A 25383-nucleotide genomic window follows, 5' to 3' on the forward strand; every position below is an offset into this window, starting at 1 on the left:
GTTTACATATCCTTAGGGATAAAATCTTAACTTTATGGGAGATTTTAATCTTACATCTATGTGTGTGTGTGTGTATACACATATATATATAAATATATGTGTGTATATGTATTTTTTTTTTGACATGGTGTCTCACTCTGTCACCCAGGCTGGAGTGTAATGGCACAATCTTGGCTCACTGCAACCTCCACCTCCAGGGTTCAAGAGATTCTCCTGTCTCAGCATCCCAAGTAGCTGGGATTACAGTTGCCTGCCACCACACCCGGCTAATTTTTGTATTTTTAGTAGAGTCGGGGTTTCACCATGTCGGCCAGGCTGGTGTCGAACTCCCGGTCTCAAGTGATCCACCTGCCTTGGCCTTCCAAAGTACATTTATATTTTTGAAAGTCTGAGAAGACTATAGGTTTCTGGTGTGATTATCTGTATAGGTAACCTGTTTTGCCTAAGTAGAGACTGTAGGAAGAGAATCAGGTTGGGTAGGGAATCTGATGCATAAAAGTGGAGATCAGTTAGAATGCTATTGCAGTAATCCAGAGAAGTAATGAAGCAGTAACAGTGAGCCCAGGAAGAAGGGAAATTGATGAATTTATGTGATATTTAGGACAGTAAATCATCATCCTTTGGAACCATTTGAATGTGGTGGCTAAGGAAAATAGCATAGTCTGAAGTTCACTGTTGGGTTTCTATGATTTGGCAACTGGGCAGATGATGATGCCTTTCATTGATAAGAAATATGGGGAGAGGAGCAGGTTTGGTCAGGGTAATAGAATTCAGTTTGGGGTGTGTTCAGTTTGTGATGTAAGAGAGAAATATAATGATTTTTAACTTGTGGATTATCATGTTATGAGCCAGATACATTCCATAGTGTTTGGAAGAGATCCAAGTAGGGTTAGAAATATGGTGCCAGAGCAAGAGAGGGGGTCTGGCCTAAATGTATAGATTTTTCAGCATGTAGGTTGTATCTATAGCATTCGGTGAGCCTGAAATCATTCAGTGAGACCCTAGAATGAAAAGAAGACTGAGGATGGGTAACCACTGGTGTGCCATAATCCAGATGATGACTTCCTGTTAAAGTCCAAGTGAAAGATGCAGATGCCTTACTACAGTGTCCCACAAGACTGTACATGATCTCTTAACTGCTATTGCTCTGACTTTACTAATCTTCTTGTTCACTGGGCTTTAGCCACCCTGGCCTTCTGTTTCTCAGACAGTAAAATGCTCTTCCCTCGAATGCTCATAGTCCCTTCTGTGTGGCATGCTATGTTTTCTCAGAAGTTTTATTGCTGGCTCTTTGTATTATTGAGGTCCCAACTCAAATATCACTTCCTCAGAGAGGCCTTCCACAACCATTGAATCTAAAACAGCTATCCAATCACTATTCCTCATTTTCCTCATTAGTTGCCTAATTTTCTTTTTTTGTTGTTGTTAATTTTTGGCTTTTTAATTAATTATTTTTAGAGCCAGGATCTTGCTCTGTCACCTAGAGTGGAGTGCAGTGGCATAGTCATAGCTCACTGTGACCTCCAACTCTTGAGCTCAAGTGATCCTCCCTCCTCAGCCTCCCAGTAGCTAGGACTGTAGGCGCATACCACCACGCCTGACTGGTTTTTTTTTTTATTTTGTGTAGAGACAGGGCCTCACTATGTTGCCAACCTGGTCTCAAACTTCTGGTCTCAAACGATTGATCCTCTTGCCTTGGCCTCCCAGATCACTGGGATTACAGAGTGAGCCACCATGCCCTGACCGCAGCTTTATTTTCCTTATATTCTCTTTCCAGTGGTGTGCTACAGCAGTCTTCTATTGGCTTGCAAGAGCTGATTGTTAAATTTTCATGAAGTTTGTGAGCCCATTCTTAAAACACAGCCATTATTAAAAATTAAATAGCCGGGCGCTGTGGCTTACGCCTGTAATCCCAGCACTTTGGGAGGCCAAAGCAGGCGGATCACCTGAGGTCGGGAGCTCGCGACCAGCCTGACCAACATCGAGAAACCCCGTCTCTACTAAAAACACAAAATTAGCTGGGCATGGTGGCACATGCCTGTAATCCCAGCTACTCGGGAGGCTGAGGCAGGAGAATCGCTTGAACCCGGGAGGTGGAAGTTGCAGTGAGCCGAGATTGCGCCATTGCACTCCAGCCTGGGCAACAAGAGTGAAACTCTGTCTCAAAAAAAAAAATTAAATATTAAATTATGTAAATTTACGATTAAATCCTGTTTTTAAAAAAGGTAATAAATACTGATAACTTAACATTTTCTCATTATTGTACTATTACCTGTGCTCTTGAGATTATTTGTCTATCGTGCTGGAAGGTGGAGATCCTGTATCCTGTATAACTGTGTGCTACTGCTCATTTCTCCCCAGCTTTGCGTTTGCTGGGGTCAGATTGGAAGCTTTAAATCTGCCCTGGTGGGAGCGTATATCCCACAAAAATTGACAAATGCTATAACTCAGAGCTCTCCCATATCAAGCGTTAAATGGTTAAACATTGACCAACATACTACTGGTGGTATCACTAAATGAATTTACCTTGTTTATTTGTTGTCTGTCTTTCCATAAGGACACGTAGGCTCTCAGTGCAGTCCCTGCCTGCCTTGTTCATGCTGTATTCACAGCCTGTAAAACAGTGCCTGGTACACTGTGAGCTCTCAGTCACTATCTGTTGAATGAGTGGATCCTCCAGAGCAGTTAAAAGGGAGGTATAAGAAAGGCCTATTTCACTAGCAGTAGGGAGAGGCCTGCTCTACTAAGTAAGATGGGGGAGAGATAGTTCCCCTAAGGCTTACTTGGGTTCTTCTTTGTGTTATGTTCCTGAGTGAGTAGCCATGTAAATTTACTTACTTAATGATAGTAAAAACTTCTCAAGCATGGTATAGGGAAGGCCAATTAATGAGCAGGAACACTCAACCCTAGCTGCACATAGGAATCACTTGGAGTATTTTTAAAAAGAATTTGGACAGCTGAGCAGCACTCACAGACCAAATTAATCAGAAATCTCTACAGGTGGAACCTGGATATCAGTATTTATTTTGAAGTGCCCCCAGGTTATTTTAATGTGCAGCCTGAGTTTAAAACCACTGGATTCGGCCGGGCGCGTTGGCTCACGCCTGTAATCCCAGCACTTTGGGAGGCCTAGGCAGGTGGATCACGAGGTCAGGAGATCCAGACCATCCTGGCTAACACGGTGAAACCTCGTCTCTACTATAAATACAAAAAATTAGCCGGGCATGGTGGCGGGCGCCTGTAGTCCCAGCCGCTCGGCAGGCTGAGGCAGAATGGCGTGAACCCGGGAGGCGGAGCTTGCAGTGAGCTGAGATCGTGCCACTGCACTCCAGCCTGGGCAACAGAGAGAGACTCCATCTCAAAAAAAAAAACCACTGGATTCGACATCGGGTAAGGGCCAGAATGGGGAGATTTGAGCCTTATACTGTGAATACTGAGGAGCCATCATCGATAGGGTTCAAAAAGTGACTTCATTCTGTAATTTATTTTTTCATTCTACAGTGGCTTGAGTTCATACTAGAAACTGGGAGTACAGAAATGTATAGGACACCTTATCTACCAGATAAGAAGTTCACAGTCTTGTAAGGGAGGCACCAAATACGAGTTTAATGAAGTGTTTTAGAGACCATCTTGAAAATCCGATTATTGAGGGTTCAGTGAAGACTGAAAGGAAAGGATGACCTGTTCAATCTAGGTAAAGGGGAGAACCAGAATATGGGACACAGAAGAGGTAAACACAAGCTCTGGTTGATGGCTAAATATTTCCCAGGTGAACAGTGCGGAAGGAGCATTTGTAAATGCCCCTCTCAATAACTGGTACCACCATCCACCTTGTTCTTCATAAAAGAGACTGTCTCTCTCTTGATCACCACTATATCCTCAGCACATACCACAGTGTCAAGCACATAGGCATTCAGATATTTGAGAATGAATGCTATTCTGTAGAGGGAGCAACTTGAATCAGAGATCTGGGAACACGTAGTGTGTTTAGGGAACTGCAGGTCTTGGCATAGCTGGACTATTGGATTAAGAGGAATGGTCATGAGGCAGGAGGTGGGGGGTCATGAAGAGCCTGGGGTCATATGCTAAGACAGGTGGACTTGATGTAAGTCCACCTTGCAAGTAACAGAACCACGGAAGGATTGTAGATGATCGTATTTGGCAAGCTTTTTCAAAGTATACATGCCTGCTAGTTTCCCTTAGGGGTTCTTATCCTGAAGACTCCCTCGCTCCCATACATGTCTGTGTTTATATATGTACAGTTGACCTTTGAACAACGTGGGAGTTGGGGGCACCAACCCTCTGCACAGTCGAAAATTCACAATAACTCTTGACTCTCCAAAAGTTTCATTAGTAGTAACCTACTGTTGACCTAGCTGATAACATAAGCAATTCATTAAGGCTTATTTTATATGTTATGTGTATTATGTACTGTATTCTTAATAAAGTATGCTAGAGAAAAGAAAATGTTACTAAGAAAATCATAAGAGAAAATATATTTACTATTCATCAAGTGGGAGTGGATCGTCATTAATCCACTTCATCCTCATCACTTCACATCGAGTAGGCTGAGGAGGAGGAGGAAGAGGAGGGGTTGGATTTGCCCTCTCAGGAGTGGCAGAAGCAGAAAATCCTCATATAGGCCAGGCGTGGTGGTTCACGCCTGTAATCCAGCGCTTTGGGAGGCCAAGGTGGGAAGATAATTTGAGCTCAGGAGTTTCAGACCAGCTTGGGCAACATAGCAAGACCCCCGTCTCTATTGAAAAAAAAAAAAACTTAAATGTAAAAATCCTCATGTAAGTAGACCTGTGCAGTTCAAATGTGTGTTGTTTAAGGGTCAGCTATATATACGTATAAACACACACACAAACACACACAGAGTCACATGATGCATAACAACGTTTTAGTCAGTATATGATGGTGGTCCCATAAGATTATAATATCGTATTTTTGCTGTATCTTTTTTGTGTTTATATGTGTAAATTTGTACCATTGTGTTACAATCACTTATAGCATTCAGTACAGTAACATGCTGTACAGGTTTGTAGCCTAGGAGCAATAGGCTAACCACTATACTATATATAGCCTAGGTATGTAGTAGGCTATACCATCTGAGTTTGTGTAAACACACTCTGTGATGTTTGTACAATGATGAAATTGCCTACCAATGCATTTCTCAGAGTGTATCTCTGTTGTTAAACAGTGCATGACTGTATATGTGTATACATATATCCCCAGCTGATTCTGATCCTTTTCTCCTTCCACTCCCAGGACCACTAAATGGGAAGTTCTTGTTTTTAAGCCCTAAAATGATATAATGGTAGTTGGCTGCAGTCTATAGAGCGCAAACTGATACAACTATATATTTATTAATGAGAAATGTGGGATTTGAGAAGGTTTTCCAGCCTTATAAGCAAGAGTATTTATTACAAGGGTTGCAACTTTACATGAGAACTCCAACAGTGAAAAGACCTTTCCTTCATATAGTCTCTCTATATATGGACATAAAAATGTTCATGTTTGTATGTTTCACCTGCCACCCTTTTATAAACTCCTCATAAATGCTATTTGCTGCCACTTATATTCTTATGCCAAATTGTGGTCTCAGTTAACATTCTGTATTTTCTTCTATTACCTCAACATTTCATCTTTCAGTTATTGAGTTCAGTTATTGACCAATTATGCTATATTCCAAATAAAACCAGATGTTGGAAATACAAAGAGAAAATGAACTTTCCTACCTTCGAGATAATTTCATTTTAGTAGGGAGACAGACATGCATACAATTACAGTGTTGTGGGATACATACCATAATAGGTGTAGTTAGTGGGAAAAGAAGTGACAGGGAAAATATGAATGATTCCATTCGGGACTCTGGGAGAGCTTTCATAGAGGAGTGGTGCCTAAGCCTCTAAAGCATTTAGAATGCGCCTAACACTTTAGTGTCAGCACATATGACAAGTGTCCTGACTCTTTGTAAGCAGTTATACGTGTTAGCTTTAATTATTATCATTACTACTACTTTTGTAATCAGAAAAGTACTTTTTAAAAAATTAACAAATCAGAAGTCATTGGTAGACGTGTAAAGAGCAGTTTCAGGGGCTGGTTGGATAGAAGCTGAATGGCAGGGGCTGAATAAGAAATAAAAAATTTGTCACAGGCCAGGCACAATAGCTCACACCTGTAATCCCAGCACTTTGGGAGACCAAGGTGGGAGGATTGCTTGAGCCAGGAGTTTGAGACCAGCCTGGGCAACAGAGCAAGACTGTACCTCTTTATTATTATTATTATTATTATTATTATTTTATTTTGTAGAGATGGGGTCTTGCTATGTTGCCCAGGCTGGTCTTGAATGCCCGGCTTCAAGCAATCCTGCTTGAAGTGTGGAGGATTGAGATTAGCCTCCCAAAGTGCTGGAATTACAGGCATGAGCCACCATGCCCAGCCAAGACTGTCTCTACAAAAAAAATTAAGAATTAACTGGGCTTGGTGGTATGCACTTGTAATCCTAGCTACTCGAGAGGCTGAGGCAGGAGGGAGGATTGCTTTAGGAGTTCAAGGCTGTAGTGAGCTATATAATGGTGGCACTGTACTCCAGCCTGAGCAAGAGAATAAGCTCTTGTCTCGAAAAGAAGAAAAGAAAGTTATCACAGCCATATACTGCTCAACAGTACCTTTTATTGGAGCGCTTGTTTCTTGAATGATTTTTCCTTTTATTTGCACCCATATAGTTTTGTTTTATTTTATATAATTTGGGTTTCAAATGTTTGTTTTAATGTAATTTTTAAAGCTAAGTAGAGGCAAATGGAACAGGTTTGTCAGTGTGGCAGGTGAAACCATGTGAAGTTGATCAGATTACTCTAGGGCTTAATGTCTCATCTTTGCTGTCTTCATTAAATTTCCCAAAGAGATACTGACAATGATAGCAATCAGAAATATAATAAAATATTATGATAACTCAGTATCAATTTATTGATCCTAATTTTCTTTACATCTCTTTTTTTTACTATATGAAAATCTAACATCAGAACACTCTGCTCCTGTTCACGTCATAGAGTAATATTTTGTCAAAGATGAAACCTTACCAATGTAGTCTTTAATCTGTCCTGATTTATTTTACAGTATGTGCTCATTACTTTCTTGCCTTATCCACAGAAGGAGCTCAAAAAGTGGGATGAGTTTGAAGATATTTTAGAAGAGAGGAGGCATGTCAGTGACTTGAAATTTGCAATGAAATGCTACACACCTCTTGTCTATAAGGGAATTACTCCATGTAAACCAATTGATATTAAATGTAGTGTTCTCAATTCTGAGGAGATTCATTATGTCATTAAACAGGTAAGTGATTCCCTCTTCAACCATGGCCAGATTTGTTCATTGTCAACAAGTTCTTAATTCTATAACTTATTTTGCTACTTTAATATATCCTTTTAGGCTGAGCTGTATTCATCACATTTATCAAATAATTACTGTATCCGTGTGTGTTAGCCTCTTGCTAGACACTAGACTAGAGGTCTAACAGTGAGCGAGTTGAGCGTAAGTGAAATATGTCGTCTGGGCATAAGTGAAATATGATACGAGACATGCTAGTGGGAGCCCAGTGTGCAGGGGCGCTAATTAATTATAGGGGCAACTCATTTGGTGTAGAGAGTCAAGGAAGTGATTTTTTTTAATGAGGCCTAAAAGATAATTAGAGATGTTGCAGGTGAAGTGGGGAAAGAGTATTCAAGCCAAACAAATAACTTATTCCTGTGGTTTTCAAACCTCCACATTAGCATTACCCAGGGAGCTTTTCAAAATCCCCATATCATCCCCATGCCAATTAAATAAAAATGTCAGGGAAGGGAATATCAGTAGTTTTTAAAGAAGCCCAGGTGATTCCAAAGTATAGCAAAGTTTGGGAGCCACTGGCTTATTTTAAGGACCGAAGCCTTGAAAAGACTTGTACTTTTCTCTTGGAGAAGCTATCAGTTTTCTCTGGTAGGAGATAGGTTGAGCCTATTCCATTAAGTGCATTCAAGTTTCCTCATCAATTAGATGCTAACAACAGTGGTTCTCAACACTGGCTTCCCCTTAGAATCACCTGTAGAACTTTTGCAAAAAGTTTACTTTCACTGTACTGAAACTAGTTCAGTATGACGAGACCAAAGAGCAAAGAAGGGATGATAATAAGAAATAAGCCTAGAGAGGTAAGAGGGTCATGTTATGAAGGACTTTGTAAACCATGTTGGATTGTATTTTATCCTAGTACAGTGCAAAGATGTTGAAAGGTTTCAAGATACAGTGTGACACAATCGGCTAATGTTTTAGAAAAACCATTCTGCTAAAACTAGACAGGAAGTCTGCTTGTGATGCTCTTGGAATAATCCCTTTGTGCAGTCATAGTTGCCTAGACTAGGGAGTGGTTGTAGAAACAGAGAAATGGACAGATTTAAGGGATTTGAGAGGTGGGGTCTACTTCATTTATGACCAGTTGGGTGTAGGAATGGAAGGAAAAGAAAGAGTCAGGGATGATAAAGCCATTCACTGAAATAGGGAACTTAAGAGGGAACCAGTTTGGGAGGGAAACTTAAGTTCTGTTATAGCTGTGTGATTTGAAGACATCAAAATGAAGGTATTTGGTGGGCAGGAGCTCCCTGATCGCTAGCCCTCCACGTCATATCACCCAGGTGCTTGTATGGTCATAGGCCCACAGGTGGATAAATGGATGCATTGCAGGTGTTGCTAGCCTGGGGCTTGGTCCCGCCCAGATCCTCTTCATAGCTTTGGGAGTGTGGCAAGGAATGACTGGCCTCATTTTTGCTAGCAGCAGTCTCCTATTGCTCCATGCCCTCATTTTTTTCCTGGTCAGAAGAGAAAATATTCTTAAGAAACTCCTCTAAGGAATATGCTCTCTCCTTTTTTTTTTTTCTTTTGGTCCTCTATAAATGTCTTAAAGGAAAACAAGCATGTATGCAACTAGTGTGTTTTTGTAAGGAGAGTGAACTCATTCAGAATTGCAGTATTCTTGCTTGATGTTGGTTACCAAATATTAACATTTGACGCTGCCTCTTTATTTGTGTAGATTGTGGCTCACTCTCGTCTTCCCCATAGACAGAACTGACTCCGTTCATGTTTAAGGCCTCTCCCTGACTTTGCCTGTTACCTCCAGTTTTTTTGTTTTATTTTGTTTTGTTTTTTTGAGACGGAGTCTTACTCTGTTGCCCAGGCTGGAGTGCAGTATCGCGATCTCGGCTCACTGCAAGCTCCGCCTCCCGGGTTCATGCCATTCTCCTGCCTCAGCCTCCCGAGTAGCTAGGACTACAGGCACCAGCCGCCACGCCCGGCTAATTTTTTGTATTTTTTAGCAGAGACGGGGTTTCACCATGTTAGCAAGGATGGTCTCGATCTCCTGACCTTGTGATCTGCTCTCCTTGGCCTCCCAAAGTGCTGGGATTACAGGCGTGAGCCGCCACACCCGGCCTACCTCCAGTTTTTAGTAGAGATGTCTTCAGTCTTGTCTTTAGGAGTATTGCCCCAGACTTCAAGTTATACCATATTTGTTCTGCAACTTCCTCTCTGACCTCTTGGAATCTGCTCTGGTTTCTAATTAGTGAAGAAGAAAGACAGTTGTCAAGCTTTAAATTCGCCTCTAATGCTCTAAGGCTGGCCTGTAGAGATCTTGCTTTTTTAACTTTTAACTGGAGTTTATTCAGGTTTGTGGCCTTGGGAACATTTTTATCTCTGCTCTCTGTTTTCTGGATTTGGACATATGAGCTGTGCTCCTATTCCTTTGTTTTTATTGGCCTTACATATCCTGGAGAGGCTATCAGTTTTATCAGGTTGGGCCTATTTCATAAGTGAAGTCAAGTTTCCTCATCAATTAGATGCTAACAACAGCAGTTAGTTCTTCCTTATAGAAGCACTTGGAGAACTTTTGCAAAAGTTACTATTATTATCTACTAGGAGGTAAACTCCATGAAGGCAAGAATTCCTGTCTCTTTTTTCACTGCCGTATTCCCAGTGCCTAACACATAGTAGACATTCAATCAATATTTGTTGAATTAGTGAATTTTTAAAAATGAGGCCATGGTCCCATCTACAGAGATTCTGATTTAACTGGTCTGGGATAGGACCCAGGCATCTCTCTCCCGAGTAGCTGGGATTACAGGCGCCTGCCACCACACCCGGCTAATTTTTGTATTTTTAGTAGAGACAGGGTTTCATCATGTTGGCCAGGCTGGTCTCAAACTCCTGACCTCAGGTGATCCGCCCACCTCGGCCTCCCAAAGTGCTGGATTACTGGCATGAGCCACCATGCCCAGCCTTCTGCTTTTCTTTAAAACTCCTCAAATAATTCTAATGCACACCCAGGTTAAGTGTTACCAATTTAAAAGATCTTATTCAGGCCAGTGTTTCTCTGACTTGGCTGTGCTGCTGAGAAAAATCACATAAACTAAGATAGATTGGAATCGTACAAATTCATAATTAGGCAGCACAACTGGGCCTTCCATATTCCCCAGTAATTCTGTTTCCCTAGTGAACTGTTTTTCATTCTCCAAAATGACAGTTTTAGCAGCCCCACTCTCCTTGAACTTCCAGCCCTGCCTCCTCTTCTTACTCTCAGCAGATGGTTTTTCTTCCAGTGTCACAGTGAAAAATTTTTTTTTTTTTTGAGACGGAGTCTCGCTCTGTCACCCAGGCTGGAGGGCAGTGGCGCGATCTCGGCTCACTGCAAGCTCTGCCTCCCGGGTTCACACCATCCTCCTGCCTCAGCCTCCTGAGTAGCTGGGACTACAGGTGTCCGCCACCATGCCCAGCTAATTTTTTTTTTTTTGTATTTTTAGTAGAGACAGGGTTTCACCTTGTTAGTCAGGATGGTCTTGATCTCCTGACCTCGTGATCCACCCGCCTTGGCCTCCCAAAGTGCTACAATTATAGGCGTGAGCCATTGCGTCCGGCCGAAAAAAATTTTTTTTTTTTTTTGCGACAGAGTCTCCCTCTGTCTCCCAGACTGGAGTGCGGTGCACAATCTCGGTTCACTGCAATCTCCGCCTCCCAGGTTCAAGTGATTCTCCTGCCTCAGCGTCCCAAGTAGCTGGGATTACAGGCACCCACCACTGCGCCTGGCTAATTTTTTGTATTTTCAGTAGAGATGGGGTCTCACCATGGTGACCAGGCTGGTCTTGAACTCCTGACCTCAGGTAATCCGCCCACCTCAGCCTCCCAAAGCACTGGGATTACAGGTGCGAGCCACTGCCCCCAACCACAAAGAAAATTTAAACTATTGTTAGTGCTCTCTCAACTTCCTGTGATCAAATCTACCAATTTACCTGCATCCAGTACTCATTATTTTCTCCTGTTAAAATAGAAGAAATCCCTTCTCCTGTTTGAGTTTAATCCCTACCCTATTCCTTTGTTCTAAATTCCACCCTCTCCCTCATCCTCAGGAACTTTGCTCTCCTGACTATCCCTTCTTATTTCTTCAACTACTTCTTTATTAGCTCTTCTCCCATCAGCATTTAGCATATTTACTTCTCTCCCAGTTTAAATAGACCTACATCCTTTAACCCCATGCCTTCTCTAGTTACTATCTCTTTCTTCCCCCTCGTCTACCTCTCTCCTCCTCTTTTAAGAAATTGATTTGTGTTATTCTTTAGAGACAGGATCTCTCTGTCACCCAGGCTGGAGTACAGTGGCATGATCATAGCTCACTGTAACCTTGAACTCCTGGGCTCAAGCGATCTTCCTGCCCCAGCCTCCTAAGTAGCTTGAACCCCAGACATGTGCCACCATGCCCAGCTTTTTTTGTTTTGTTTTTTAAAATTTTTTGTAGGACAGGATCCCGCTATGTTGCCCAGGCTGAGCTTGAACTCCTGACCTCAAGCGATCCTTCTGCCTTGGCCTCCTAAAGTGCTGGGATTACAGGTGTGAGCCACTGTACCTGGCTCAAAATTGGCCACGTTGTCCATGCTTACCATCACACCTCCTCATCCTTCATTTACTACTCAACTTGCTGGAATCCAGTTTCTCATCCACTGTCATGGCTCTTTCTGAGGTTGTAAATGACTTCCTTATGGGTAAATTCTACCTGTTTCAAAGCTGTAATAGTCGTTGGCTCTTGCTCTTTCTCCTTTCTTTTCATGACACCATACCATCACCCTAAGCCCCATGTCTTTTTAATCATTCCTCATTTGCTTTTATGGGCTTTTCCTTTGCCTGTCTCTTTAAATGATGGAATGCGTCAGGATTTTATTCCAGCCTCTGGTTTTATTCTACCCAGTCACTGGGCAGTTTTATTAATTGCCAGAATTTTAAGTACTTTCCTTATGCTGACATCTCCCTATTATAAATAATAACATAATAAGAACATGGATAAATAATATCTATTCCTTCAGCCCAGATCTCTTTTGAGTTTCATGTATCTGTTTTTATATGTCTACTAGAATATCCACTTGGAAATTCCAAAGCACCTCAAATTCAAGATGTATAAGTCAAACTCTTTACCCCTCCCACCCCTACCCCTGAGCCAGGTGTCTAAGATATATTACCTCCTACCCCCACCCAGTTTTCCCTGTCTCCAGGAATGGCCCCTCCATGCACTGGTTGACCAAACCACCACAAATCTGGATGCCATCTTCAACTTCTTGCTTTTCTTTCATACGCTGTCAGTCACTAAGACTGCTAATTTTCTCTTTTTTTTTTTTTTTTTTTTTTTTTGAGAGGGAGTCTTGCTCTGTTGCCCAGGCTGGAGTGCAGTGGCGCGATCTGGGCTCACTGCAAGTTCCGCCTCCCAGGTTTGCACCATTCTCCTGCCTCAGCCTCCCAAGTAGCTGGGACTACAGGCACCCACCACCACGCCCAGCTAATTTTTTGTATTTTTAGTAGAGACGAGGTTTCACTTTTTTAGCCAGGATGGTCTCGATCTCCTGACCTCGTGATCCGCCCGCCTCGGCCTCCCAAAGTGCTGGGATTACAGGCGTGAGCCACTGCGCCCGGCCAATTTTCTCTGTTAAATGTCTCTTCCTGTCTATGTATCTCCACCTCTGCTGCCACCTTTCTAACTCAGTCTGCCTTTATCTCACAGAATACAATAGTAGCCATTGAAGGGGTCTTAGCCAAGGAAAGATGTGATTACTTTTGCATTTAAGAGATGTCTCAAGTTTATAATGTGGAGAAGAGACTGAAGAGTCAGAAAAATGAAGCGAGGAGTTAGTTATAAGACTATTGCTCATCTGTTAAGTCTTATATTAGGTTTCTATGAAGGTGTATCTGCTGGGCAAATGAAAAGCCTAATTGCATAGAGTAAGAGATCAGTTGTCTTCTGCTCTGCTGCAGTCACGGAGAAAGCATTTCCTTCAAGCAAGCCAGCCTGTTCACCTGTGTTGTTGATCTATTCATTTCGTTCTAATTCCCAAGGGTATTGTCTTTCCTACCTGTCAGCCCTTTCCACTGGCTCAAGATGGCATGATGATTTTCCATCCAGGGGAAAGTCCTCCCTTGGCCATGTATTCTGCCTCGTTTCCCTCTTTCCCTACTTTTCCTGCTTCTCAGAAGAGTGGGCTACATGTGGTGTCTGCCTTTTCCATTCAGGTCCCAATTTTAGCAGATTGCTGAAGCTTATCTAGTAAAGGTTACCATGGATCTCCAACGGGCCCCTTCATCTCCACGTTGTCTTTTGCTGTGTCTTTTATTGTTACACACTCTCTTCTTCAGGATCATCTTACCTTGACTTCTGTGACATCTGGTTTTATTCTGTGACATTTCATGTTAGATGGTCCTCATTGATCTCTTTCATAAGTTCTTCTGTCTGCCCCATAAGTGCTTCTCAGAGTTGAACCTTCACGCTTCTTACCTCCCTGCTGCTGTCTCCCTGGTCCATTTTATCCATCATTCTCATCATTTCACTTTCCATCTATAGCTTGGTGGTATCCAGTCAATAGCTCTAGCTGTTCCTAGATTATTGGGGTTCAGACTTTTTATCTCCAGCTGTCCAGTTCTCTGCTGGACATCTAATCTGTATGTCCCACATACACCTCAGAATCTGTATAGCTAACTAATTCTTAGCCCCTGTACTTTACTGCCTTCCATCCCTAAGCTGTGGTGTCTATTTCAGGGCTGGCCCCACCACCCATTCTGTTGCCCAAAACAAAACTGAACCATCACCCTGCCCTGCCCTTCTCTTTAGCACCTGTCATTACCCTTGTTTGGCTCTGTACCATCTCTGGCTTGAACTATTTCCATAGGTTTACGGTTATACTTCCTTTCATGGCTGTGTTTCCTGAAATTCATCCCTCTTACCAGTCCCTTGATTCCTCTATTTTCCCTTGGTTCTGCCCTCTGCCCTCTGCCCTTTCTTCCTGTCCAGCTGTTATTAGGATTATCTGAGTAACTGTTTCACCAACCCTTAATTCTCCTTTGCAATCTTTCCTTCCAGACTGACCAGGAAAAAAAGCAGCCTGGAATCTGCCAACTCACCTTCTCTGTTCCTATAACCAGGTGTCTGGCTGCTCCTGGGAGAGTGGGTGAGTTATACAGATCCACATTCTGCAGCCTCAGGATCCCTTCTTCCATCTGTCCCTTTTAGTCCAGTCTCAGAGAAAAGGCGCCTGCTCTCCTGGTCACAGCTAGCCACACCCCTGTGGTCGGAAGTCATCCCGTCCAGCCTCTTCTGAGACCTTTGGCATGCATCTGCTCCCTTTCCTCTATCTTCAGCCTTTCTCTCAGGGGACTTCTTCTATTTGGTCTATAAACAGGTCCGAGGCTTTAACACCACTGAGCTGTATACTTAAAAATGGTTAAAATGGCATATTTTATGTTATGTGTATTTTAATGCAATTTTTTTTTTTTTTTTTTTTTTTTTTTGAGACAGAGTCTCGCTCTGTCGCCCCGGCTGGAGGCAGTGGCTCTATCTTGGCTCACTGCAAGCTCCGCCTCCCAGGTTTACATCATTCTCCTGCCTCAGCCTCCCGAGTAGCTGGGACTATAGTCACCCACCACCACACCCAGCTAATTTTTTTTTTTTCTATTCTTTAGTAGAGACGGGGTTTCACCGTGTTAGCCAGGATGGTCTCAATCTCCTGACCTCGTGATCCACCTGCCTCGGCCTCCCAAAGTGCTGGGATTACAGGCATGAGCCACCACGCCCAGCCAACACAATTTTTTAAAAGTGGAATGCTAATTAATAAAAACAAAAAAACAGGTCCAGGACTTTTGCATCTAGGGAGAGCATTTTTTGCTTTAATTCATATCATCCCTTTACTTCTCATTCAAACTTTCCCATTATTCTGTGGCCACTGTCTTTAGTTCCTCAGCAGTTCATTTAGTCTTCAGTCCATTCAGTATGAGTTCTCTTCTGACTATATTTATAAACTTTTTTTTTTTTTTGGCACAATCACTGTTTCAGGTAACCTGAGTAAAACAAAGGAACACAGGTAAGAGGAAAGAGTTTATCCCAGTTCCTCCCTGTTGAACTGAGCCCCCCAAAAGATAGGATATGCAGCAAGATAGAGATGGTGGTTGCACAACATTTGTGAATGTACAAAATACCACTGAATAGTTCACTTTAAAATGATTAATTTGGCCGGGTGTGGTGGCTCACGCCTGTAATCCCAGCAATTTTGGAGGCTGAGGCGGGCGGATCACCTGAGGTCGGGAGTTCAAGACCAGCCTGACCAACATGGAGAAACCCCGTCTCTCCTAAAAATACAAAATTAGCTGGGCATGGTGGCACATGCCTGTAATCCCAGCTACTCGGGAGGCTAAGGCAGGAGAATCGCTTGAACCCGGGAAGCAGAGGTTGCGGTGAGCCGAGATTGCACCATTGTACTCCAGCCTGGGCAACAAGAGCGAAACTCCGTCTCAAAAAAAAAAAAAAAAGGTTAATTTTATAGTGTGTGAATTTCACCTCAATGAAAAAAAAGGGTAAGATACTTCTTCACTACATGTAATTGGGGTGCCAACACCTGTCCTCTGAGCTTCTGAGCTCATCCTAAAGCAAAGCACTCTCCTTTGGGAAGCATAAGGATTACTTATCCTACAGACTTCATTTCAAAGTGCTTGTTTAGGGGACAATGAAAATGGGCAAATCAGGGCTTCCTCAAGGATAGAAACTGACTTGCTCATCTCCAGGCCCTTGACAGTCCCAGCACACAGCAAACATTTTATTTTCTTTACAAAAGAGCTAGAGGGCCATGTGAATAAAATAAGTTCCGTTGTGAGATTCTTTATTTCACTAATTATCCTTTGATAGCTTGGGACTTTGTGTGCCTGTGACTTGATAGATCTGATGTAGTCTGAGTCGGTAATTTCAATGTGATCTTGTATATTACCTTGTAATAGCATTGAGCCAGCTGGTGGAGCACTGCAGCAATACACTGAGAGAAGCCACTATTTGCTAGGACACTAGACCATGGGCAGCAACTTATTTTAGAGTTTGGATATAAACTTATTAACAAACCAAATGGAAAGGTGAAGTGTTTTCTTCACTCTAAAATGCTATCCTAGAAAGCCATTTTTCTTTTAATTTCTGGCCTTTAAACTTCTTTAAATAGGCTCATTTATCTACTATGACTGTGTTGGGAAGTTGTCAATTAAGAAGACACTATCTTTGAGTTATAGAAGATTAATCCATTTGGAACTAGTCATACTGGTTTGAGTAAAGCTTTCTGACTTTTCTGTTATTGTTGTTAGAAATTATTCCTGCTTTTCCTTTCCTTTTAGCTTTCCAAGGAATCCCTTCAATCTGTGGATGTCCTCCGAGAGGAAGTGAGTGAGATCTTAGATGAAATGAGTCACAAACTGCGTCTTGGAGCCATTCGGTTTTGTGCCTTCACCCTGAGCAAAGTATTTAAACAAATTTTCTCGAAGGTGTGTGTAAATGAAGAAGGTATTCAGAAAGTGAGTATTGATTATTAAAAAAATAAAGAAATAAAAGTCTCATCTTAAAATTAAACAAAAAAAAAAACAGTCTCTTTTTCAACCCCTCACAATTTAATCAACTCAAGGACAGCTCACTTGGTCAATCAAAAGCCTAGGGCCTAATCATCAGGCCTCCAGTCTAGGCAGAAGAGGATGTGCATCTCTGAAGGTTGTTTTCTGTTTTTTTGTTTCCTTTTAACTGCAGACCTACAGGCTTCAGACTAACTTAGTCAAGTAAGACTTATAGACTAACTTAATGCCAGATATTCAGTAACGTTACAAAAGAAATACAAAGAATTCCTGTATATACTTCACCTAGATTCCCTTACAGCATTTCCTTTATCCTTTTCCTAATACTCTGCTGTGTTTTTCCTATAATTAAGGGCATTATCTTATGGTACAAGTATCAAAATAAGGAAATTAACATTGAACAAATACTAGTAATACTGACCTGACTCATATTTCACCAGTTGTCCCAGTCATGTCCTGTCTAGCTAAAGAAAATCGTAGCTCATGTGTTGCGCTAGAAATCCTAGAAAGTGTTCAACTTTCTTCTGTATCCACTTCCATATTAGACTCTTTTAATCTAAAATAATTCCTTAGTATCTGTATTTGTGTTTCATGCTAATTTTTTTTTTTTTTAAAGAACAGGCTAATTATTTTGAAGTGTGAAATGGTTTGAATTTGAGTGATGTTATCTCAGTATTGGGCTCGGGTTGTGTACCTTTGCTAGGAACACCCCGGAAGCGATGCATTCTTCTCAGTGGGTCGTGTCAGCAATGCATGGTGCCTGTCGGTTTCATTACTGGAGATGTTTCACTTCCATCAGTTGGTTATCGTTATGACTGCCAGGTTTCTCTGCTGTAAAGTTATTATTTTTTCCCTTTATAATTAATGAATATCTTGTGAAAAGACTCTTTGAAAATGGCTAAATACCCTGTTTTGCATCATACTTTACCCCACTCGTTTTTGCACCCACTGATGATTTTTGCCTGAATTAATTATTATGTTAATGATTGCCAAATGATGACTTTTCTAATTTCATAAAGAGCTTTCCTTATGAAGAGTATTTTTACTTATTTGTGTTTTATATTTTTTTCTTCTAGGAAAGCTCTTAACTTCACTTGCCTTCCTCCTCATCCCTTTTAATATTTTGTTTTAATTCAGTCATTTACTTTCCTGTCAAATATTTCTTCTTCCTACTGACTGTTTTCGAGATTGCTGACTTATACCCTGAATCTGTCAGAGAATGTTACAGTGTTTGGGACCAAGGGTGGTGGTGAGCCATTTCTTAAGTGATGATCACAGATTACCTGGCCTCTGTTACATTTAGATTTCAAAAAAACAGATAACACATGGATACCAGTGAATCTTGAGATTGATGGCCTGAGGAGTATATTTGGAAACTCAAATTATCCCTCCCAGCCACATGACACCCATTCACCCTGGCAGTGAGTCCAGCACATAGAGAAATACCATTCTTCTCACCTTGTCCTATGAATTTGTAGATTTTTTTTAATCTCTCCAAGAGAAGCTTTGTTTTCTCTTACTACAACCAACCAATTCAATACAGTGGTTAACAGTTGGCTTTTTAAGTCAGACTGACTTGGGTTCCATTCACAGCTCTGCCATTTATTGGATGCATGACCATTTTACAAACAAGAAAGCTAAGGCTTAGACCTTGTTAATTATGTGGTATTAAACAAAGCACGTAAGATAACTGTATATAAAATGATGCTAATATAGTGCCCAACTAATATATGTTAGCGATCATCACTGTTATTATTCTGATCCATAAAAATTTACATTTTTAATATTCTTGCATTATGTGAAATTGTTTAACTAGAAACAGTACTTTTACCTTATCAGAGCAAATCGTTTATGTGTATGGCAAAAAGGCAGAAAAAGAGGATGGGTATTCCCTCTAAATATAGACTTATTCTTCCGTTTTCTGATTTGAGATGTGATTTGATAACATGACAACTGAAATTATTCAAAATGTAACATTTACTTTCAAGCTACAAAGAGCCATCCAGGAGCATCCTGTTGTTCTGCTGCCTAGTCATCGAAGTTACATTGACTTCCTCATGTTGTCTTTTCTTCTATACAATTATGATTTGCCTGTGCCAGTTATAGCAGCAGGAATGGGTATGTATTGTTTTTCTGTTTTTTTAACTGTAAAAATTAAAAAGTTCACTGGCATATTCTAGCAGTACTGAGGTATTTGAAGATGATGATGAAAATAGCCTCTCCTCCTTTCTTCCAGTCCTAGCACTGAATAACTTGAGTTATGTCCTTTGTCCTGTGCTTTACTGTGCCTGAACAGACATCTGCAGGAGTTCATGCACACAGGGTTCTTTGGTGTAGGCTTAAAAAATGAGACTGCACTACTTACAGGTATTAGCTGCCTTTTGCTTTTTTTATTTGATAATATATTAATGGCTACCTCTCTAGGCAATAAATAGATCTAACTTTTTAAAGTTTATTTTTAATTGTGATAAAATACATATAACATCAAATTTGCCATCTAAGTCATCTTCAAAAATATAGTTCAGTGGCATTAAGTACATTTACATTGTTGTGCTGCTATCAACACCATCCATCTCCAGAACTCTTCATCTTGCAAAACTGAAATGGTACCCATTCAACACACTCCCCGTTCTACCCTCCCCCTGACCCTGGGCAATCAGCATTCTACTTTCTGTCTCTGTGAACTACTCTAGATGCTTGATATAGGTGGAATCATACAGTACTTGTCCTTTTGTGACTGGCATATTTCACTTAACAGAATGCCCTCAAGGTTCATCCATGTTGCAGCATGTGTCAGAATTTCCTTCCTTTTTGAAGTTGGAAATGCATCTGCTCAAGACCCTGCTTTCCATTTTTTTATATATATACAAAAATGGTATATATGGAATTGCTGGGTCTTGTGGTAATTTTTTTTCATTTTTTGAGGAACCACCATACTGCCTTCCTTAGCAGCTGCACCATTTTACATTCCCACCAAAAGTGCACAAGAGTTCCAGTTGTTCTACATCCTTGCCAACACCTGTTATTTTCTGATATGTTTTATAATAATTTTAATGAGTGTGAAGTGGTATCTCCTTGTAGTTTTGATTTGCATTTCCCTAATGATTAGTGATGCTGAGCATCTTTTTTGTGTGCTTATTGGCCATTTGTATATCTTTGGAGAAATGTCTGTTCAAGTCCGTTATTTTTTAATTAGGTTGTTTGGGGCTTTTTTTGTTGAGTTGTAGGAATTGTTTCTACATCCTGGATATTCACCCCTTATCAGACAGATGATTTGCAAATATTATCTTCCATTTCATGGGTTACCTTTTCACTCTGTTGATTGTGTTATTTGATGCATGGAAGTTTTTAATTGATGTAGTCCAATTGATCTATTTGTTTCTTTGGTTCCCTGGTTCCCTGTGCTTTTGGTATCAGATCGAAGAAATCATTGCCAAATCCGAGGTCATGAAGCTTTTCCCTTATGTTTTATCCTAAGAGTTTTATGGTTTCAGGTCTTACATTAAGATCTTTGGTTTTTTGAGTTAATTTTTGTATATGGTGTAAGTTAAGGGTCCAACTTCATGTCTAACATTAATTTTAATAGCCATATAATATTCAGCAGTGTGGATATTTCATAATTTAGTAGTTTTGCTGTTATAAACAATGTCATAATACATTTTTATATTGGTGCTTTTATTCCTGTAAGATCGATTCCTAAAAGTGGGATTGCTAAGGCATATAAGTTGTTTATCCACTCCCTTTTAGGGTAGCCAGGAAAGCCAGGATTCAAGTATACACGTTTGTTAATAAATGCAGTGAATGGTAAGGTTAAAACTGCCAAGAACTTAAGCACTTTAAAAGCATTTTCATCTGAACAAACTTGTGAGGAAGTTATTTGAAAACTAGGGGAAATGAAGAGAAAGACTATTTTAAAACTGCTGGTAGCAATCTTCCTTTCTTACAAGATTTGCCTTATTTAATCTCTTCCAACAAAAGTAGGTTGATGTTTTTTCCTGGTAGGCAAAAGATGAGAGCGGGTTTGGCCTGGCTGTCCAGAGCATGAAGGGCACATATTGGTCTGTTGTCAGGCTCAGCAGCATGGCTGACTAAAGACATTGACATCATGACATTGTCATGTTGCTCTGCTGTTGCCCCTGGCTCTAGCTGGCCTACTTGTAAAGGGAGTGGTGCATGGAGAAGCACAAGGTAACCTCCCAGTGAGCACCTGGCCCACAGAATCCCTTCTTTTCTATAATTCTATTAGGTATCTCTTATGTATTTTAATGTCAAAGTATAATAATATCATAGGGGTGTCTTACATTTATGAAATCTTTCTTAATAATGTTTGAGTTTAGGCCAGGCACAGTGGCTTATGCCTGTAATCCCAGTACTTTGGGAGGCCGAGGCAGGAGGACTGCTTGAGGCCAGGAAGTTTGTGACCAACCTAGCCAACATAGCGAGACCCTGTCTCATAAAATAAAATAATAAAATATAAATGAAAAATAAGCATGTTTAAGTTTAGATCTTTATAGAAGATTTCAAGATCTGCAAATAAATATTATCCCCTCTTTTTTAGACTTCCTGGGAATGAAAATGGTTGGTGAGCTGCTACGAATGTCGGGTGCCTTTTTCATGCGGCGTACCTTTGGTGGCAATAAACTCTACTGGGCTGTATTCTCTGAATATGTAAAAACTATGTTACGGGTAAATGCAAATAATTCCCAACTACTCTTAAGCCATATTTTCTTCACTGATGTTTGCTCATTTAAACTCTTAACTTCTGAATAGAACACTTAGCTATTTTGCTTTCCCTCAAGAACTGCTTATAACCTCAGCAATTGGTTTAATCTGTGTGACTCTCTTGTTTAATTTTCACTGTAAGCTGTGTTTGTTCAGGAAGCTTGGGAGGGAGCTTGGGAAAAGGAATCAAAAGAAGCATTTATCATTTTGAGAGTAGGCAATGGGTTTTGTGTTTTGTTTGTTTTCTCTTTAAAGAATGGTTATGCTCCTGTTGAATTTTTCCTCGAAGGGACAAGAAGCCGCTCTGCCAAGACATTGACTCCTAAATTTGGTAGGTCACTACAGATTAAAAGGAAAAATACAAACCCAAAGACATCAGCTGCTACATAAAACTTGACGCTTTATTTAACAAGATATTCTTTTCAAGTGTAAATGTATAACTGTTGATATTTACGGGATTAGTGTATAATGTATGCTTTTAGTATTTTCCGTTTATGTGCTCATGTTTGCTCTGCTCTTCAATATGTTGATGAAGCATTTCTCCCTGTGTTTTGCAGGTCTTCTGAATATTGTGATGGAGCCATTTTTTAAAAGAGAAGTTTTTGATACCTACCTTGTCCCAATTAGTATCAGTTATGATAAGATCTTGGAAGAAACTCTTTATGTGTATGAGCTTCTAGGGGTTCCTAAACCAAAAGAGTCTACAACTGTACGTGAGCTTGATTTTAGCTTAATTGAGAGAATGTGCTGACTGACACATCAACTAATTTCTAAATTTACTGCTTTTCGTTTTCTTCCCCCCCTGTTATGGTACTATTAGGGGTTGCTGAAAGCCAGAAAGATTCTCTCTGAAAATTTTGGAAGCATCCATGTGTACTTTGGAGATCCTGTGTCACTTCGATCTTTGGCAGCTGGGAGGATGAGTCGGAGCTCATATAACTTGGTTCCAAGGTGTGACCTGTGTTTTAATAACTGTCTTAGAAATGAGGATTAAAATCCAAAGGTGTGAGTTGCAATGCTGGAGTTGACCACTTCTCTTGATTTACTTAAGATTACAGAGAAAATGATCAGAAATGCTGTTATCATTCCGTTTTCATCAGTGGAAACCTTCAATTAAAGAAGAATTATGTGTTTGTCCCAAAAAAAGATAAGCTGTGAGATATGTATGTCAAATATGCAAAATCAGACAATGATCATGTTTCTCAAGGGAACTAAAGTGGGAATAAATAATGCCATTATTAACAAGTATATGTGCAGGAATTGTTGAGCACTATTGGTAAGCTAGCCAAAGTATGTACTATTATTTTTGACCCTAGAAAGGATTGCATAATGGTAATGAATGGGAGTGAGTCCTTAGTCTCTAGAGAGTTATAGTTTTATAGGCAAGAAAATATATTAGGTTCTTTCAGGATAAAGAACACAGATACACATTTGAGTTTTCTTAATTAGGAGAAATATACCTGGACAAGTAAGGGAGACAAACCATCTGCCCCTCCAGGCCTCATGTGCTGCAACATCATTTGTAACTTATCTGTAGCTTTAGCAGTTTCCCAGCAGCTACATTAGTCATCACAGACGCTTATGTTAGTTTTTTTCCTGACACAGGCTCTCTCTTTAGATCTCAAATTGGTTTGGCTGGCTATTACCTAGTACAGGGCACCCTTACTGGCTGCATCTTTCACATTAAGCCACCTGTGTGGCAATTTTTAGGTCATGTGTGTATCTCTGCTCCAGCCAGCTCTGTGCAGGCCTTATTGTACTATTCAAAGTTTGGTAATCCATGCATGAAGTCAGACAAACTGAATGGCACCCATTCAGTATAAAATAGTTATTATATAATCTGTTAAGTGTGTTCTACAATGGAGATATGTTCAGCGTGCTATGCATTCTGAAAAGATAGTAATTTAGTCTACTGGGGCAGGCATCCATTCTCAGAGAAACGATGTATCCTATTTAGGAAGCAACAAAAGTTTTTTGCCTGGAACCAGGAATAATAGGACCCTGGACCCCTTCAGTATTTTTACCATCTCTCAAGAGGATATTCCAGAAATGTATGGTCAGATTACACTATAGTAAAGCAAAGGAATACTGTTTGCACCTGACCTGAGAGAATTCAGTTGGCACAAAGTATGAGAAGCCTTCTAAAACGTCTAGAGTCTTTTTCCATCCCCATTTGTCTAAGTAACAGAACTGTAATTTGTTGCTCTGTGCTCTTCCTTTTAGATACATTCCTCAGAAACAGTCTGAGGACATGCATGCCTTTGTCACTGAAGTTGCCTACAAAATGGAGCTTCTGCAAATTGAAAACATGGTTTTGAGCCCCTGGACCCTAATAGTTGCTGTTCTGCTTCAGAACCGGCCATCCATGGACTTTGATGCTCTGGTGGAAAAGACTTTATGGCTAAAAGGCTTAACCCAGGCATTTGGAGGGTTTCTCATTTGGCCTGGTATGTAGGTAGGACATATGTGTTGAGAATGCTTGCTTAATTTGGAAGAGTTAAAACCTGGACCTGAAAAATCTATAGAGGACTTGAGCAAAGGATTGCTCAGAAAGAGAAAGGACAGGCCGGGCGCGGTGGTTCACACCTGTAATCCCAGCACTTTGGGAGGCCAAGGCAGGTGGATCACGAGGTCAGGAGATTGAGACCATCCTGGCTAACGCGGTGAAACCCCGTCTCTACTAAAAAATAGAAAAAATTAACCAGGCGTGGTGGTAGGCGCCTGTAGTCCCAGCTACTCGGGAGGCTGAGGCAGGAGAATGGCATGAACCCAGGAGGCGGAGCTTGCAGTGAGCCGAGATTGTGCCACTGCACTCCAGCTAGGCAACAGAGCGAGACTCTGTCTCAAAAAAGAAAGAAAAAGAGAAAGGACACCAAATCTGTTTTTATCACTATAGGACACAGTGAACACAGCACGTTGATTATTTGAGAATAATTGTTTACATGTCATTTCCCACTACGAGACTCTGAATATCTTGAGGACTAGAATACCATTTCCTTGGCACCTAGTACGGTGGAAAATAAAGTCATGAATCCTAGCCAGGCATGGTGGTACACACCTATAATCCCAGCTACTTGGGAGGCTGAGGTGGGAGGATCACTTGAGCCCAGGAGTTCGAGACCAGCCTCAGTAACATAGTGAGACCCCATCTCCAAAAAAAAAAAAAAAAGGCCGGGCGTGGTGGCTCACACCTGTAATCCCAGCACTTTGGGAGGCTGAGGCGGGCGGATCACGAGGTCAGCAGTTCCAGACCAGCCTGACCAACATGGTGAAACTCCGTCTCTACTAAAAACACAAAAATTAGCCGGGCATGGTGGCGTGCACCTGTAATCCCAGCTACTCGGGAGGCTGAGGCAGGAAAATTGCTTGAACCTGGGAGGCAGAGATTGCAGTGAGCCAAGATTGCGCCACTGCACTCCAGCCTGGGTGATAGAGCGAGATTCCGTCTCAAAAAAAAAAAAAAATTGTACAGGCTACAGTTGGAAATGCGTTTTTTTTTAAAGACCAGATAATTATTTGAAGTCAAGTACCTACTGTTCTTTGATCAACCCAATACTGAATACCTCCTCTGTGCTGGGTACTACCAGGGATATGAAGATGAACAAGATGCCATCCCCATCCTGGACGTTCCCCTGGGTTGCAGAGGGCAGGGTGGGTGGGTAATGTGTAAACAAGTTGTGAGGGTTCAGTGAACAGAGACAAGGAGCAACATGCATGCTGCAGAGGGTTCCT

General features: G+C 41.1%; 1 protein-coding gene across 3 annotated transcripts in view; it reads left to right on the top strand.

Moving 5' to 3' along the window:
• The window catches only part of GNPAT (glyceronephosphate O-acyltransferase), a 36762-nt gene that overhangs the window by 2594 nt on the left and 8785 nt on the right, over nt 1-25383 (top strand). The window contains exons 2-9 of one of the 3 annotated variants that reach the window (NM_014236.4): nt 7156-7338; nt 16702-16878; nt 18918-19047; nt 21488-21615; nt 21907-21982; nt 22209-22360; nt 22472-22602; nt 23875-24098. In NM_014236.4, coding sequence (NP_055051.1) covers nt 7156-7338; nt 16702-16878; nt 18918-19047; nt 21488-21615; nt 21907-21982; nt 22209-22360; nt 22472-22602; nt 23875-24098 — 1201 coding nt within the window. The remainder of the gene's footprint in view (nt 1-7155; nt 7339-16701; nt 16879-18917; nt 19048-21487; nt 21616-21906; nt 21983-22208; nt 22361-22471; nt 22603-23874; nt 24099-25383) is intronic. The other 2 variants (XM_005273313.5, NM_001316350.2) reach the window with 2 other exon arrangements.

This window comes from Homo sapiens, chromosome 1, assembly GCF_000001405.40.
Source record: "Homo sapiens chromosome 1, GRCh38.p14 Primary Assembly".
NCBI lineage: Eukaryota > Metazoa > Chordata > Mammalia > Primates > Hominidae > Homo > Homo sapiens.